General features: G+C 41.8%; 1 protein-coding gene across 13 annotated transcripts in view; it reads left to right on the plus strand.

Annotated features, from left to right (window-relative positions):
- PAFAH1B2 (platelet activating factor acetylhydrolase 1b catalytic subunit 2) overlaps window positions 1-18,127 on the plus strand; it is a 33,887-nt gene that overhangs the window by 4,914 nt on the left and 10,846 nt on the right. For 9 of the 13 annotated variants that reach the window (NR_110269.2, NR_110268.2, XM_047427042.1 and 6 more), the window contains exons 2-5: window positions 3,241-3,328; window positions 10,734-10,823; window positions 11,945-12,061; window positions 14,570-14,692. Coding sequence is in view for 10 of the 13 variants with exons in the window: in XM_017017840.2 (XP_016873329.1) it covers window positions 3,241-3,328; window positions 10,734-10,823; window positions 11,945-12,061; window positions 14,570-14,692 (418 nt within the window). In the remaining 3 variants the exon portion in view is untranslated. The remainder of the gene's footprint in view (window positions 1-3,240; window positions 3,329-10,733; window positions 10,824-11,944; window positions 12,062-14,569; window positions 14,693-18,127) is intronic. The other 4 variants (XM_047427043.1, NM_001309431.2, NM_001184748.2 and 1 more) reach the window with 3 other exon arrangements.

The raw sequence follows: 18,127 nt of genomic DNA on the forward strand, positions 1-18,127 counted from the left end.
CAGCTTGCTGAGTAGCTGAGACTGCAGGCACTACCATGCCAGGCTAATTTCTTCAATTTTTTTGTAGAGACGGGGTCTCATTATGTTGCCCAGGATAGTCTCAAACTCCTGGATTCAAGTCATCTTCCTGCCTCGGCCTCCCAAAGTGCTGAGATTATAAGTGTGAGCCGCCACACCTGGCTAAAATCTAACTTTTTAAAGAATTTAATTTAAAAAAAGTTTTCTAATCGTTTTTTTTTTTTTTGAGATGGAGTCTCGCTCTGTCCCCCAGGCTGGAGTGCAGTGGCACGATCTCGGCTTACTGCAAGCTCGGCCTCCCAGGTTCACGCCATTCTCCTGCCTCAGCCTCCCAAGTAGCTGGGACTACAGGTGCCCGCCACCACGCCCAGCTAATTTTTTTTTTTTGTATTTTTAGTAGATACGGGGTTTCACCATGTTAGCCAGGATGGTCTCGATCTCCTGACCTCGTGATCTGCCTGCCTCGGCCTCCCAAAGTGCTGGGATTACAGGTGTGAGCCACCGTGCCCGGCCAAAAGTTTTCTAATCTATAAAAAGAAAAAATAGGCTTCACTATAATTTAAGATTCACATGAACAGTAATTGGCATGTTTATATACAAATGTGTAGGTAGTGGGGTGCATTTCAAAAATACCCTAGGCTGGGCAGGATTCTAGGCCGAGCTCAGGAGTTCGAGACCAGTCTGGGCAACATGGAGAAACCTTGTCTGTATAAAAGAAAAATAGAAAAGTTAGCTGGGTGTGGCGGTGCATGCCTGTAGTCCTGGCTACAGGCCAGGACTTCACCTCAAAAACAAAAAAAAGACCTTGTCTCAAAAAATTTTTATTAACTAACATGTAAGTTTTAATTTGATTTAAGCCTAGAATTGAACTTAGACCCAAATAAACTTTTATGTAGAAAGTATAGAATGTTTTACTGGTTTAAAAATAAAGCAAAACCTCCCACATTGTTTAAATTAATAATTTTTTGGTTGTTGTTTGTTTGAGATGAAGTCTTGCTCTGTTGCTGCAACTTCCGCCTGCCAGGTTCCAGCGATTCTCCTGCCCCAGTCTCCTGAGTAGCTGCAGCTTACAGGCGTGTTCCACCATGCCCGGCTAATTTTTGTATTTTTTGTAGAGACGGGGGTTTCACCATGTTGGCCAGGCTGGTCTTGAACTCCTGACCTCAAGCGATCCACCTGCTTTGGCTTCCCAAAGTGCTAGGATTACAGGCATGAGCCACTGCACCCAGCCGATGATGTTGTTTTTTTTTTTTGAAATCATGATGATATTCTAGTATCATTTAGAACTGAGCTAATTTGTTTGCATAATTAGTGTTAGTATTATTTGCTTCTGTAATTTATTTTTCTTGAGTGAAGGTATGCTTTCACGTTTGGGGCTTGGTACTTGGTGATTCTAAAAAACTACTGCTTTGGCAATGTAGTGTGTTTTGTGTACTCAGTAAATATGTATATTGAATGAATATAACTCGATCTTCTTTCTGAGAAAGCTTAGCTGTATTTGAGGATGGCAAGGGAAAGAAAAAGATTGCTTATATAGAAGATGACCTCCTTTTCTTCAGGAGATCGAGACCGTCCTGGCTAACACGGTGAAACCCCGTCTCTACTAAAAATACAAAAAAATTAGCTGGGCGTGGTGGCGGGCGCTTGTAGTCCCAGCTACTTGGGAGGCTGAGGCAGGAGAATGGCGTGAACCCGGGAGGCGGAGCTTGCAGTGACCCGAGATTGCGCCACTGCACTCCAGCCTCGGTGACAGAGCAAGACTCCATCTCAGAAAAAAAAAAAAAAAAGATGACCTTCTTTTCTATAAACCGCAAAACCCCAGATTTTTTTCCTTTTCATAGTCCTTTGCATTTGGAGTTTAATGTTTCTATTGTATATTCTGCAGAATTGATTGAAAGTAATCTGGTTTCTTATTTGTCTTTCTATTTATAGAAGATTAGCAGTTCTAATTTTGCGGAATTTTACTTGCTAGATGACATATTTGGACTCATCATTACTAAAATTTTTTCTTTTTCTTTTTTTTTTTTTTGAGATGGAGTCTGGCTCTGTCACCCAGGCTGGAGTGCAGTGGTGTGATTTCGGCTCACTGCAACCTCCGCCTCCCGGGTTCAAGTGATTCTCCTACCTCAGTCTCCTGAGTAGCTGGGACTACAGGTGCATGCCACCATGCCCAGCTAATTTTTTGTATTTTTAGTAGAGACGGGGTTTCACTATGTTGGCCAGGATGGTCTCAATCTCCTGACCTTGTGACCTGCCTGCCTTGGCCTCCCAAAGTGCTGGGATTACAGGCGTGAGCCACCACACCCAGCCATCATTTCTAAAATTTTCTTAGTGGAAACTTACAAAAATAAAAATACCTAGTAAACATTTGTCGAAAACCAGTGCCAAGGCCTATGACTACTTTTGTCATAATCTGTACTACAGTTATTTGTGTGATGTTTATTTAGTAACCAGTGGATTATAATCATTGCAGTAGTAATTCTGTAAGTGTTTTTTTTTTGAGACAGAGTCTTGCTCAGTCGCCCAGGCTGGAGTGCATTGGCACAGTCTCGGCTCACTGCAAGCTCCACCTGCACCTCCTGGGTTCACGCCATTCTTCTGCCTCAGCCTCCCAAGTAGCTGGGACTACAGGCGCCCGCCACCTCACCCGGCTAATTTTTTTGTATTTTTAGTAGAGGCAGGGTTTCACCATGTTAGCCAGGATGGTCTTGATCTCCTGACCTCGTGATCCACCTGCCGCCTAGCCTCCCAAAGTGCTGGGATTACAGGTGTGAGCCACTGTGCAGGGCCAGTAATTCTGTAACTCTTAACAGTAGTAAGTGTGTAACTCTTAACAGCTGAAAAGCCTCTGATGTAGATTTAATTGTACTGTAAGTGTCTAATAACTCCTTGTGTCACTTGGTACTTACAGTAACATATAATCACAAAAAACTAATATAGGTATAAAGTATATACTTGGAGGAGATTTTTTAAATGTACTGCACTGCAACTAAGTCATATTCAAAGCTATCTGGCGGTTTAGTGGTGCTATCTTTATGGGACTTAGTCATGTTCTGCAATTCATCTCTACAGAAAGTAATTGTTTCTGTTTAGTTTCCCAATTGTTTCTAGGCAAACCACATAAAACTTTAATTATTATTTAAAGCCTGATGTGTATAATATTTAAGTGGTAACAAACCTTCCTGTTAACAAATGAAACATGACATAGACGTTTTTTCTCAGGTGTAGAATGAGCCAAGGAGACTCAAACCCAGCAGCTATTCCGCATGCAGCAGAAGATATTCAAGGAGATGACCGATGGATGTCTCAGGTAAAAGGAAGTGCATGTGTATCATTCACATGAGTTGAGTCTCCAGTTTTTTGTCTGTTTTGTTTTAGTTTTTGAGACAAGGTCTCACTGTGTTGCCCAGGCTGATCTCAAACTGCAGGGCTCAAGTGATCCTCCCACTTCAGCCTCCCATATAGCTGGGACTAGTGGCACATATCAGTATGCCTGGCTTCTTCAATTATTTTAAGGTCTTTTGACCAAAACTGCAAAGGGGCAATTAAAAAAAAAACAAAACAAAACTCTAGGCTGGGCATGGTGGCTCACGCCTATAATCCCAACACTTGGGGAGGCCGAGGTGGGCGGATCACAAGGTCAGGAGTTTGAGACCAGACTGGCCAATATGGTGAAACCCGTCTCTACTAAAAATAAGTTAGCCGGTTGTGGTGGCAGGCGCCTATAGTCCCAGTTACTGAGGAGGCTGAGGCAGGAGAATCGCTTGAACCCAGGAGGCGGAGGTTGCAGTGAGCCGAGATTGTGCCACTGCACTCCAGCCTGGCAACAGAGCAAGACTGCATCTCAAAACAAACAAAAAACAAACAAAAAAACTGTAACCTTGTGACCCGTGACAGGTTGTACAAAGGGGGATTTTAATAGTCAACAAGAATTTGTTACTGTAAGTAAAAATGTAATGTTACAAATGTCCTGCCTCTTCACCATTCTGATGTTGGAACTGGGAAATATTTTAAGTTTTTTTATTTTGCAGTAATTTCAAAACTACACAAATGTTACAGAAATTTAGAAAGAAGTATCTTCATCTAGACTCACCAATTGTTAACATTTTACCGTATCTGCCTAATTATTGTGTCTGTATCTATTTTGTTTTAGTTTTTTTTTTGTTGTTGTTGTTGGTTTTTTGAGATGGAGTCTCACTCTTGCCCAGGCTGGAGTGCAGTGGTGCAATCTTGGCTCACTGCAGCCTCCACCCCCCTGCCACCCTGGGTTCAAGATATTCTTGTGTCTTAGCCTCCCAAGTAGCTGGGATTACAGGCGCCCGCCACCACGCTCAGCTAATTTTTGTATTTTTAGTAGAGACAGGGTTCTGCCATGTTGGCCAGGCTGGTTTCAAACTCCTGACCTCAAGTGATCTGCCTGTCTAGGCCTCCCAAAGTGCTGGGATTACAGGCGTGAGCCACCATGCCCTGCTGTGTCTATATCTATTTCTATATGTATATACTAACGTAGTGGGTTTTTCTGAAGCATTTGCACTCATTTCCCTTATCCCTGAATATTTCAGCATGTTTTCTTAAAAACAAGGACTTTTCTTAAATAACTATAGGATAGTTATTAAAATCATGAGATGTAATATTGATATAATACTATTATTACTTAATCCAAAGACCATATTCAGATTTCTCCAGTTGTCCCAATATTTTTTTCTTTTCTTTTTTTTTTTTTAAGACAGGGCAGTATACAGTGGCTCATGCCTGTAATCCCAGCACGTTAGGAGGCCAGGGCAGGTTGGGAAGTCAAGGCGGGAGGATCACTTGAGCCCAGGATATTAAGGCTACAATGAACTATAATTGTGCCACTGCACTCCAGCCTGGGTGACAGATTGAGACCTTATCTCAAAAAGAAAAAAAAGAAGTATACCACAGTTGATTTGCCCATTTTTTCTTTCATGGACATCTGGATCATTTATACCTTTATGAATAGTAACTAGGCCAGGAGTAGTGACTCACACCTGTAATCTCAGCACTTTGGGAAGCTGAGGCAGGTGAATCGCTTGAGCCCAGGAGTTCAAGACGAAGGAAAGGAAAAGAAAAGAAAAGTAGTAACTAAACTAGATATCTTCATTATTCTTGTCTTAAGTTAATAGGCTTCAATGAGCTCTGGCTGTAGAAAAATCAGTCAAATGGAAGAAAAACACAAATATTTTAAAAATTTTTTTGGAGACAGAATCTTGCTCTGTCAAGCATGCTGGAGTGCAGTGGCACCATTACAGCTTGCACCATTACAGCTTGCACCATTACTGCAGCCTTGGCTTCCCGGGCTTAAGTGATCCACCACCGCTTCTCAAGTAGCTGGGACCACAGGTGCATGCCACCATGCCGGGCTAATTTTTTTTATTATTTTTTGTGGAGATAGGGTCTCACTATATTGCCCAGGCTGATGATCTTGAACTCTCGGCCTCAAGTGATCCTCCTGCCTCAGCCTCCCAAAGTGTTGGGATTACAGGCATGAGCCACCGTGCCTGACTTTAAAAATCTTTTAAGCATTGCATACTGAAATATTTATACTTGGAATGATATATCCTCAGTTTGCTTCAAAATAGTCTGGGGATGGAGTGGGGCAGTAGTTGGGAGTATGACTGAAATAATGCAGGCCATAAATGATTGCTGTAGCTGGTAATTGATACATGGAGGTTTATTCTCTCTGAATGGAGATGTTATTCTCTCGGCTTTTGTATACATTTGATATTTTGCGTAATAAAAAGGTTTTGTTTTGTTTTTGTTTTTGAGATGGAGTCTCACTGTGTTACCCAGGCTGAAGTGCAGTGGTGTGATCTTGGCTCGCTGCAACTTCTACCTCCTGAATAGCTGGGATTACAGGCACCCACCTCCATGCCCGGCTAATTTTTGTGTTTTTTTAGTAGAGACGAGGTTTCCCCGTGTTGGTCAAGCCGGTCTTGAACTCCTGACCTCAGGTGATCCACGCACCTTAGCCTCCCAAAATGCTGGGATTACAGGCGTGAGCCACCACATCCCTGGCCTAAAAGGTTTTCTTAAGGGTAGTGTTGAAAGACTTGCCAAATAGAATAGAAATCGTATCAAAACATATTAACCAGAAAAATAAGGCTCAGCAGCAGACTAAGGAAAATAAACGCAGTAAATATTATAGATGAAGCATAGATACCTTATATTATCAATAAAAATATCCTAAAGGAACTAATATATAAGTATTTCAGTAGACATGATAGGAAGTGTAACTTTGTTTCCAAAAAGTGTAAATTAAAACATTAGGAAGAGAAAGAAAGAGAAACGTTAATATCTAATTCAGGTTCAAGTACAGTAAAACCAGTTCTAATATATTGCTGGAGTCCTTACAGATTAGCATATAGCCCTTTTGTTGAGAATTTGGAAATATGTCCAAAATCCATAAAAATACTGATTTATTTTGACTAAGAATTTCCAGTGTAGGAAAAATTATATATATATATATCCCTTTATCACACTTACTAGATTCACAAAAAGAGGCCACTGGCAAGTCTGTCCACAGGAAGAAGAGTGTGACCTGGGAGGCTGAGGCAAGAGGATTGCTTAAGCACAGGAGTTCAAGACCAGCCTCGGCAACATAGACCCTCATTCCCCTCACCCCCCAAAATAGCAAACAAAAATGTGTCGTTGAGTGCATTCAGTAGAGTATATTATGTGTAGTGGCTCATACCTGTAGTCCCAGCACTTTGGGAGGCTGAGGCCAGTAGATTGTTTGAGGCCAGAAGTGCAGCCTAGGAAACACACCAAGACCCTGATTCAACAAAAAATAGAAAAAAAAATTCACTGGGCATGGTGGTGTGTGCCTGTAGTCCCAGCTACTGGGGGGCCAAGGCAGGAGGATTGCTTGAGTCTGGGAGTTTGAGACTGTAGTAAGCTGTGATCATGCACTGCACTCCACCCTCGGTGACGGAGCAAGACCCTGTCTCTAGAAAAGAATATATGGCCATTAAAAGTTATGATTATAAAAACTGCATTGCTACATAGAAAAATGGTTCTAGTATGATGTTAAGTGCAACTATAACGGCTACCATTTATCAAGTACCTAGTGGGTGCCAGTCAATAGCTGGGACTCTTTAACAACTCTAAAATGGAGTTGCCAGCAGATGTTAAAACCAAGACACAAATTATGTACTTTCTTAAGATCACTGGACTGGAAAGTAGGTAAGCTAGAATTTGAATGTTGGTTTTTCTGGCCCCAGACATATAGTGCCAGAAAGAGGTGTCCATGATGCTTAAACTATGTAAAAGGGGTAACAGAGGACATGAAAAAAGATGAGGAGAAAACACTCAAGCATGGTCATAGTTACTAGGTTAAGGTGGTAGGATTATAGATGTGTTGTTTTGGTCCTTTCTATTTTTCCAAATTTATTACAACTATTACACTTTAGGAGAAAAGTACTAGAACCTTTAGCATAGCAGTCTTAAATTCCACGACTCTACAAATGCAAGCTATTTTATTGGTGTTGAAAGGTAGTTGGGGCCGGGCACGGTGGCTCAGGCCTGTGATCTCTCAGCACCTTGGGAGGCAGAGGTGAGTGGATCGCTTGAGTTCCAGACCAGCCTGGGAAACATAGCAAAACCCCATCTTTACAAAAAATGCCAAAAATAAAAGCCGGATATGGTGAAATGCGCCTGAGGCTGAGGCAGGGAGGATCACGTAAGCCCTCCCCAGCCTGAGCCTGGGAGGTTGGGGCTGCAGTGAGCTGCCCCTCATAGCTGCCACTGTACTCCAGTAGTCTGGGTGACAGAGTGAAACCCTGTCTCAAAATCTCAAAAAAGAAAAAAAAAAAGAAAGGTAGTTGGTACTACAGTACCTGCAATAGGGAGTTGACATGATAGGAAAAAGCACCTATTCACTAAACTTTTATTCTTTCTCATATCTCCTCAGTTTAAAAATATTTACTGAAACAATAGTAATTTTTAAAATACGTGTTTGCACAAAATATGGAAGCAAGGAAAAAGCTGTCCCTAATCCTGTCACCCTAAGAGAGGAAGTGTTTTGTTTTCTTTTTTAAATAAATAAATGAATATATATATATATATAGTTTGTTTGTTTGTTTAATTAGAGATGGGGTTTTGCCATGTTGCCCAGGCTGGTCTTGAACTCCTGAGCTCATGTGATCTGCTCACTTTGGCTTCACAGAGGCCTAGGATTACAGGCGTGAGCTGCCACACCTGACCAGAGGTGTTTTCATAATCTGTAAAATTATTTCCAGAAGTATTTTTGTCACTTTACACTTCACCTGTGGATGAATATCTGAGTTTTACCACAGCCTCATCTGCATTGGTATTGTCAACAGAAATACTTAAATAGTAACTCTTCCTTAATTCCTAAGGGAAACAAAGTTGAATGCAGAGTTTGAGAAAAGGAAACAGCATTGGAAACCTAGGCATGATAGAGCATTCCTGTAGTCCTAGCTAGTTGGGAGGCTAAGGCAGGAGGGTCACTTGAGCCCAGGAATTCAGTCCAGTCTGGGCAACATAGTGAGACCCCATCTTTGGGAAAAAAAGAGAGTAGGCCTTTTCCTAGACCTACATTACAGACCTAGAGCACTGTATAAATTTGTTTAAGGGATGAATATAAAAGTTTAAACTGGTCTGGCACGGTAGTTCACGCCTGTAATCCCAGCACTTTTGGAGGCTGAGGCGGGTGGATCACCTGAGGTCAGGAGTTCGAGACCAGCCTGACCAACATGGTGAAACCCCATCTCTACTAAAAATACAAAAATTAGCTGGGCATGGTGGTGGGCGCCTGTAATCCCAGCTACTCGGGAGGCTGAGGCACAAAAATTGGTTGAACCCGGGAGGTGGAGGTTGCAGTGAGCTAAGATCGCGCCACTACACTCCAGCCTGAGTGATAAAGTGAGATTCCATCTCCAAAAAGTAAAATAAAAAGTTTAAACTATGTTCTTTAGCATTGATGGGTAAAATTTGTTTTCTTTTTTCTTTCTTTCTTTTCTTCATAGTGAAGGGGTCTCATGATGTTGCCCAGGCTGGTCTCGAATGCCTGGGCTCAAGCTATCCTTCACACCTTGGCCTCCTAAAGTGCTAAGATTATGGACATGAGCCACCACACCTGGCCAAAATCTATTTTAGAGAGTGTCTTGTGCCTTTATAACAGAAAGAGGCACTCTGGGCGGAGATTACCACTGTTTATAAACTTGGATTTGACTGAAAAGGATTGAGTCCTAGTTTGCCGGTGTCTCACATTTGGAAGTTAACAGATATTTTCAAAGTCTGCATTCAAATAAAATACATGGATCCTCATTGGATCATAGTTGAGAAAATGATATAATACTTTATTGAACTCTTGGAGCCATTTGAAAAATTGAATGTTATGGGATTGTTTCTTTTCCTAGTTATGATAATAGTTTGTGGGCTTTTTTTTTTTTTTTTTTTTTAAGATGGAGTTTCGCTCTTGTCGCCTAGGCTGGAGTGTAATGGCATGATCCCGGCTCACTGCAACCTCCGTCTCCCAGGTTCAGGCGATTCTCCTCCCTTAGCCTCCTGAGTAGCTGGGACTACAGGCACCCGCCACCACACCTGGCTAATTTTTGTATTATTATTAGAGGCGGGGTTTCACCATGTTGGCTGGGCTGGTCTCGAACTCCCAACCTCAGGTGATCTGCCCACCCTGGCCTCCCAAAGTGCTGGGATTACCGGCGTGAGCCACCGCACCATTTGGTTTTATAAGAGGATGTTCTTACTCTTAGGAGATGCTTGCTGATTAGGGTGAAGAATCATAATGTTTGCATTCTACTTCACAAGTGGTCCAGCAAACATGCACACATACATAGAAACAAAGCAAACATGGGAAAATACTATTAGTTGTTGAATACAAGAGGCAGATGTATATGTGTTCATTGTAATATGTCAACTTTCTGTGTATCTACAATTTTCTTAATAAAAGTTTGAGGAAAAGATAAACTTCTAAACAGCATGTTACATGTATTTTTCTATTCTGGTTTCAGTAGAATTCTGGGTTTCTTGAGAGTACTAGAATGCTCTGTATGGTAAGGGTGAGAAGAAAGTTCAAACAGTAATTTATAGAATGAGAGGAATAAGCTTTGGGGATAGACTAAAAAAAATGTTCAACAACAGTAACTGGTTGAACAGCTGTTCTTTCTAGGCCAAGAAGTCTCACAGGGAAAGAAATATCAGTTTCTTTTTTTATTAAAAAAATTTTTTTTTGGCTAGATGTGTGGCTCACACCTGTAATCCCAGCACTTTGGAAGGCTAAGGTGGGCAGATTGCTTGAGCTCAGGAGTTCAAGACCAGCCTGGGCAACATGGTAAAACCTCGTCTCTACAAAAAAATAGAAAAAATTAGCCAGGCATGGTGGCATGAGCCTATAATCCCAGCTATTCAGGTGACTGAGGTGGGAAGATGACTTGAGCCCCTGAAGCAGAAGTTGCAGTGAGCCAAGATCACGCCACTGTACTCCAGCCTGGGTGAGAGAGCCAGACGCTGTCTTAGAAAAAAAAAAAAAAAGAAAGAAAAAAGTTGTTTTTGTAGAGATGGGATCTTGATATATTACCCAGGCTGATCTCAAACTCCTGACCTCAAGTTATTCTCCTGTCCTGGCCTCCCAAAATGTTGAGAGTTCAAGCATGGGCCACCACACCCAGCCAGAAGTGCCAGTTAATAATTTTTTTTTTTCTTCTTCAAACCAGCACAACAGATTTGTTTTGGACTGTAAAGACAAAGAGCCTGATGTACTGTTCGTGGGAGACTCCATGGTGCAGTTAATGCAGCAATATGAGGTAAAGGTGGAAGGGATGAGCGTGGTTCTTGGCTACTCATGTATATCCATTCATTACTAACAGACTTTCATTCTGAGCTGAACTTACTTATTTGTGACTCTTAGAGAAGCCCTAATTGAGGTTATAAGAGAATCAAAGCTACCTAAAGGGATTTTCTTTTCTTTCTTTTAACTTGGCCATGTTCTGATCTGAAGCATTGTTTATAATGAAACTTCCTCTTCTACTCTGGTTTCCAAGAGGCTTGATGTTATATTTGTTTATATTTGCTCTACTCAGATTGTCAAGTTATTATTTGTATCTTAGTATTTCCTATTTGTATTTGCTAATAACATTTATCCTAGTCATGATTCTTACTTATATTTTGCCATTTTCCTATTTCATATATTTTTGTAGTAAGCTATTGCCAATCTTCTTTTAGGGTTTAGGCATTCTTCCATGGGAAATTTATTAGTTTTTTTATTTTTTAATTTATTTTTTTGAGACAGTCCCGCTCCATCGTCGAGGCTGGAGTGCAGTGGCACAATCTCAGGCTCAAGAGATTCTCATACCTCAGCCCCTGAGTAGTTGGGATTATAGGCATGTGCCACCATGCCTGACTGATTTTTGTATTTTTAGTGGAGACGGGGTTTCACTATGTTGGCCAGGCTGGTCTCGAACTCTTGGCCTCAAATGATCCACGTGCCTTGGCCTCACAGAGTGCTGGGATTATAGGCATGGGCCACTGTGCCCAGCCCCAAGGGAAATTTAAAAGATAGCTTTTTTTTTTTTTTTTAAGCTCTAGCACTCTAAATTTCTTCATCTCTTGTTTCTACTTCACCCTGTTTCTGTAGTTCAATAAGTGGAAAGGAGGGTTTGTTGAGTTGACAGCTTAATTATTAATGTTGATACCTTTTAGGGGGCATCAGATTGAGTTGTGACTCATTTCTTGAGCTGAGACCTAAGGCTGCATTAAGAACTGAGTTACACAATGGTATCTTAAAAGCCCTTAAACAGTGTCACACCATTACAGTGTTATCTTTGAATACAGAAAAAGGAAATTAATGCCTTGCAACACATTGCAGTCGAAAGATTAAACTTTCCCCTAGTTTTAGGTACACTAAATCAAGTTTTTCTTTTTTTAGATATGGCGAGAGCTTTTTTCCCCACTTCATGCACTGAATTTTGGAATTGGGGGAGATACAACAAGACATGTTTTGTGGAGACTAAAGAATGGAGAACTGGAGAATATTAAGCCTAAGGTGAAATGAAAGTTACTTGTCAATGTCATTAATCTTAAGTCTGTTTTGGATAGTTAAATTGTCTGAAACTGTAAAAAAAAATTGCTTCTTTAAAGACCTATTTCACTATTTTTTTCGTGCCTCTTTAAGGTAAATGATACTGTCATTGCTTGAGAATATGCCAAAATATATAATTAAGAAACTAGTGAATTGTTTGCCTATTGGGTTGTATTTATAGTTGTTATAATTACTTTCTTAAGTTGAAGGAAGAGTTTTTTTTTTTTTTGAGATGGAGTCTTGCTTTGTCACCCAGGCTAGAGTGCAGTGGTGTGATCTCAGCTCACTGCAACCTCCGCCTCCTGGGTTCAAGCGATTCTCCTGCCTCAGCCTCCCGAGTAGCTGGGATTACAGGCGCCGCCACTGTGCCCAGCTAATTTTTGTATTTTTGGTAGAGATGGGGTTTCACCATCTTGGCCAGGCTGGTCTTGAACTCATGACCTTGTGATCCACCCGCTTCGGCCTCCCAAAAGTGCTGGAGAATTACAAGCATGAGCCACCGCGCCTGGCTGAAGGAAGAGATTTGATGCTAACGAGGTATGCTATTCTGTGGAATGCATAGATCTCGGGCAGTATGAGGGAAAACTGCTCAGAGGTGGGCCATGGGAGCAGGGCCATGATTAACTTTAGGAAGTAATTTTGGATCTGTTTAACCATATAAACAGGTCAGTAATCGAGGCCTGCAAGTTCATCTGAAGAAAATTAGAAGCAGATGTGAACAAATGAACATTTCTACCCAGTATCTTATATCATAAATACTCTGAGTTGGCACACTGTATATAATTGTTTCAGCTCCCAAAAAAGAACAAAAACTGAGCCCTGACAAAACGTGCTTTCATTGAAAGTTGTTTGTTTTAAGACAGGTTCTCTCTGTTGCCCAAACTAGAATGCAGTGGCATGATTATAGCTCACTGTAACCTCAAACTGTTGGACTCGGATGATCCTATGGCCTCAGCCTCCCAAATAGCTAGGACTGCAGGCATGTGCCACCATGCTTAGCTAATTTTTAAATTTCTTTTTGTAGACAGGGTCTTGGTCTTGTTATGTTGCCTAGGCTGGTGTCAAACTCCTGGCCTCAGATGATGATCCTCCCGCCCCGGCCTCCTAAAATACTGGGATTATAGGCTTGAGCTACCATGCGAGACTGTGATTTTTTTTTTTTTTCTCTAAAGAGAAAAACTTGATGGATCAGCGTGGTGGGTTATGCCTGTAATCCTAGCACTTTGGGAGGCTGAGGCACGCAGATCACTTGAGGCTAGGAGTTCACGACCACCCTGGCCAGCATGGTGAAACCCTGTCTCTAGATTTAAAAAAAAAAAAAAAAAGCCAGGCATGGTGTCACACACCTTAGGAAGCTGAGGCAGGAGAATCACTTGAACCCATGAGATGGAGGTTGCAGTGAGCCAGGATCACACCACTGCACTCCAGCCTGGGTGACAGAGGAAGACTCCGTTTCAAAAATAAATAAATAGAAAAATTTGTTAAAGTTGCATCCAGCCTCCACCTCTGTGACTCTTTTCCTTGAGTGTACCTGTGTATTTATACCGTGACAGGTTCTTGCTGTGTCACCCAGGCTGGAGTGCAGTGGCATGATCATGGCTTACTTGCAGTCTTGAACTCCTGGGCTGAATCAATCTTCCCACCTCAGTGTCCCAAAGCATTGAGATTATAGATGTGACCCACTGTGCCTGGCCAGGTTTTATTTTTATACAGTTTATTAATCTTTTTTGTATAATTTTTGGATTTTGAGAAATCAGCTTCCTGCTGCATGATGATATAATTCTCTCTTGTTTCCTCCTAGTACAATTTTACCACTTAAATATTATTCCCCTTGGAATTTATCCTGATATATGATAGGAGGCATAAATCGATGCATTAAGATTTCTGCCCTGGCTCAACATTTGTAGTCCCAGCATTTTGGGAGGCCAAAGAAAGATGGATTGAGCCCAGGAGTTTAAGACCAGCCTGGGCAATATAGCATGACCCTCTATCTCTTAAAAGAAAATTTAATAGGATAGCTGCCCAGTTGAAGTTAGCCAACACCATTTGAAAAGTTTATCTTTCCTTCTTTGCTTTTTGAAATAAGATTTTCGGCCGGGCGTGGTGGCTCACACCTGTAATCCCAGCACTTTGGGATGCCAAGGTGGGTGGATTACCTGAGGTCAGGAGTTTGAGACCAGCCTGGGCAACGTGGTGAAACCCTGGTCTCTACTAAAAATACAAAAATTAGCTGGGCGTGGCGGCACATGCCTGTAGTCCCAGCTACTCGGGAGGCTGAGGCAGGAGAATCACTTGAACCTGGGAGGCGGAGGTTGCAGTGAGCCGAAATGGTGCCACTGCACTCCAGTCTGGGTGATAGAGCGAGACCCCATCTCAAAAAAAAAAAAAAAAAAGATTTTCATCTAAATGTTGGACGTTCCTTTGTTCCTGGGTATTTATCTTCTCCTTCCCCCCTTTTTTCTTCAATTGCAGGTCATTGTTGTCTGGGTAGGAACAAATAACCACGAAAATACAGCAGAAGAAGTAGCAGGTGGGATCGAGGCCATTGTACAACTTATCAACACAAGGCAGCCACAGGCCAAAATCATTGTATTGGTATGTAGTCGTTGGTGGGTAGAGAGTTTGTTATCTTTAGGTCAGCTGAGGAATCTTTTTAGAAATGTGATTGCTCATGAATATTAGAGAACCTTGAGGTGGAAGCAGTTTATCATACTTTCGTTGACCTCTTCTTTAATGTATTTTACTGTCTTACTGGTTTCATCATTCCCCATACCAGCTGTGGGGCCATCTTTTATCCACGCATCCTTGTTTAGAAGTATGGAAGCCGTGGCCAGGCGCTGTGGCTCACGCCTGTAATCCCAGCACTTTGGGAGGCCAAGGTGGGCGGATCACGAGGTCAGGAGATCAAGTCCATCCTGGCTAACACGGTGAAACCCTGTCTCTAATAAAAATACAAAAAATTAGCCGGGTGTGGTGGCAGGCGCCTGTAGTCCCAGCTACTCGGGAGGCCGAGGCAGGAGAATGGCGTGAACTTGGGAGGCAGAGCTTACAGTGAGCAGAGATTGTGCCACTGCACTCCAGCCTGGGTGACAGAGCGAGACTCCGTCTCAAAAAAAAAAAGTATGGAAGCCGTTTGGTGCCTCAGTACTCCTTTTTTTGGCCTCCATAATTTTTTGCACAATGGCACATGAGATTTGTCTGAATCCTGAGTCTTTTTATTAGACCTATATTTGGATTACTTTGTAAGTGTCCTGTTTTACTGCTAATATGTTAAAGGTGGTATATTAGACATTCTAATCTTCTCTAAAACATAAAAAATTTCATCAGCAAGAAAATGGATACTTTATAGTTGTACCCTGAACAGAAAGGTGCTACCCTTTTGTAGAATTAAAGCATTAACTCTTCATGGTCTCAAAGGTGAACAGCTGTCTGTTTCAGTATAAAAGTCTAGCTGTAGGCCGGGTGTGGTGGCTCACGTCTGTAATCCCAGCACTTTGGGAGGCCGAGGCGGGTGGATCACAAGGTCAGGATTTCAAGACCAGCCTGGCCAAGATGGTGAAACTTCGTCTCTACTAAAAATACAAAAAAATTAGCTGGGCGTGGTGGCACGTGCCTGTAATCCCAGCTATTCGGGAGGCTGAAACAGATAATTTCTTTTTTCTTTTTTTTTTTTTTTGAGACAGAGTCTCGCTCTGTCGCCTAGGCTGGAGTGCAGTGGCATGATCTCGGCTCACTGCAAGCTCGGCCTCCCAGGTTCACACCATTCTCCTGCCTCAGCCTCCCGAGTAGCTGGGACTACAGGCGCCCGCCACCACACCCGGCTAATTTTTTGTATTTTTAGTAGAGATGGGGTTTCACCGTGTTAGCCATGGTCTCGATCTCCTGACCTCGTGATCTGCCTGCCTTGGCCTCCCAAAGTGCTGCGATTACAGACGTGAGCCATCACGCCTGGCTGAAGCAGAGAATTTCTTAAACCTGGGAGGTGGAGGTTGCAGTGAGCCGAGATCGTGCCACTGCACTCCAGCCTGGGCAACAGAGCAAAACTCGGTCTCAAAAAAAAAAAAAAAATGTCTAGCTGTAGATATTCTTAGTCAGTTTGAAACATGTTTTAGCAAAATCTGATACAAATTTAGTTCTTTAGTGAGATGGTGTTAGGAAGATAGTCATTTACTCAAAAAACCTGAGGATCACTGTGTACAAGGCACTATCCTAGTTCTTGAGCATACAAAAATGAGTAAGACATAGTTTCGGTCTCAAGGAGCTCACAGTCTAGTGTATGGAGACAGCAACACAGAATTATTATACTGTGTGCTGTTTAGAGTAAGGTGAAAACGTGTTTAACAAAAGTTGACATCTGCATTCAAAGACTTCATTGGTTTCCAGACAAATAGGGAAAGAAGGAAGGTATTATAGAAAAATAAAGAGAATTGAGCAAAGGCTTGTACATGTATGTGTTTGTTGGGTGAGCAGAGGAGGCTGCATAAAGTTTGAGCCTGGGATGGTTAGGAGAAGGAGGCCACAACCAGGTCATGTAGGATTTTTTTTTTTTTTTTTTAATTTGAGATGGAGTCTCGCTCTACTGCCCAGGCTGGAGTGCAGTGGCGTGATCTTAGCTCACTGCAACCTCCGCCTCCCGGGTTCAAGTGATTCTTCTGCCTCAAATCCCAAGTAGCTGGAACTACAGGTGCATGCCACCATGCCCGGCTAATTTTTGTTTGTTTTTAGTAGAAACGGGGTTTCACCATATTGGCCAGGCTGGTCTCGAACTCCTGACCTCGTTCGTGATCTGCCCGCCTCATCCTCCCAAAGTGCTGGGATTACAGGCGTGAGCCACTGCGCCAGACCAGGTCATGTAGGAATTCATATGCTGTTGGGATGTTTGGATTTTATCCACAGTTGCTGGGGGGCCAGATCTTTTTTATTACAAGGCATTTCATTTACTTGTTGAGGTACTTATTTATACCTGCCTTATTCCAGAAAGGATTGTGTTAAGAGTCCACCTGTTAAGTACAGTGACTAGTACATAGTATTTGCTTAGGAAATATTTGTTGTATGAATGTTGCTCAATAAGCCTTCCATATTCTTTGTTTTTAAATTGGATATACAAAAGTGTTAATTATGGTGTTGTCCATAATACTAAAACTTTGGAAATAACCTAAATAGTAGTATCATGGAAATGATTGTATAAGTCATTGAATATGATAGCAGTAATCACATTACAATTATGAGGGCTGTGTGCAAACAGACTTTATGGTGTATTTAAGTGAAAATGTTTTTGAATTGCTTTGCTGGGCATGGTAGCTCATGCCTAATCCTAGTATCTATGCAATTGGAAAAGGGCTACAAGAAGACAAAATTAAAACAGTTATTCCAGGGTTATTCCAGGGTGAATAGCTCTGATTCATCAAGACAGCATTCATTCCACCTCTTTTTCTCATAGTATATTATGGTGTGGGTTCCATGTGGCATTAATAGATGATGTGTATCTATGAGCTTGATTATTCTGACAGCCAAATGGAGAATGGATTGAAGGGTAGACAACGTTGGAGGTGGGAAGACCAATCAGGAGGTTTTATAGTAATTAAGATGATTGGAGATAAGTTCCTGAGCTATAGCAGTGTATATAATCAGGATGGAGACAAGAAAATGACATTTAGGATGCAAAAGTTGAATAATTTAATGATAAATAGATAAGATATATGGGATGTGAGACTTGCAGATGTTGGAATGACCAGTTGATAAAGAGGAAGAGCATAGTTTAATGAATTGCTTTTGGATCAGTTGGGAGTGCCTTGGGAACATTTAAATTTCTTTCTGTAGCTTAGAAGTTTCATATGTAATTCTGAAGCTCTAGGAAGAGATCTGGCTAAAGTATTTAGAGTAGTGGGCCAGAGGACAGGTCCTTGAAGAATACCAACAGTTAAGGGACAGGAGGAAGGGAACCCATGAAAAAACTAAGAAGAAATGGTTAGCTTTCATTCAAAACAGTATTTTCCAATGTTTCACAACTCAAAGGTGTAGAAAGTGCCA

This window comes from Homo sapiens, chromosome 11 (assembly GCF_000001405.40).
Source record: "Homo sapiens chromosome 11, GRCh38.p14 Primary Assembly".
NCBI classification, from domain to species: Eukaryota; Metazoa; Chordata; class Mammalia; order Primates; family Hominidae; genus Homo; species Homo sapiens.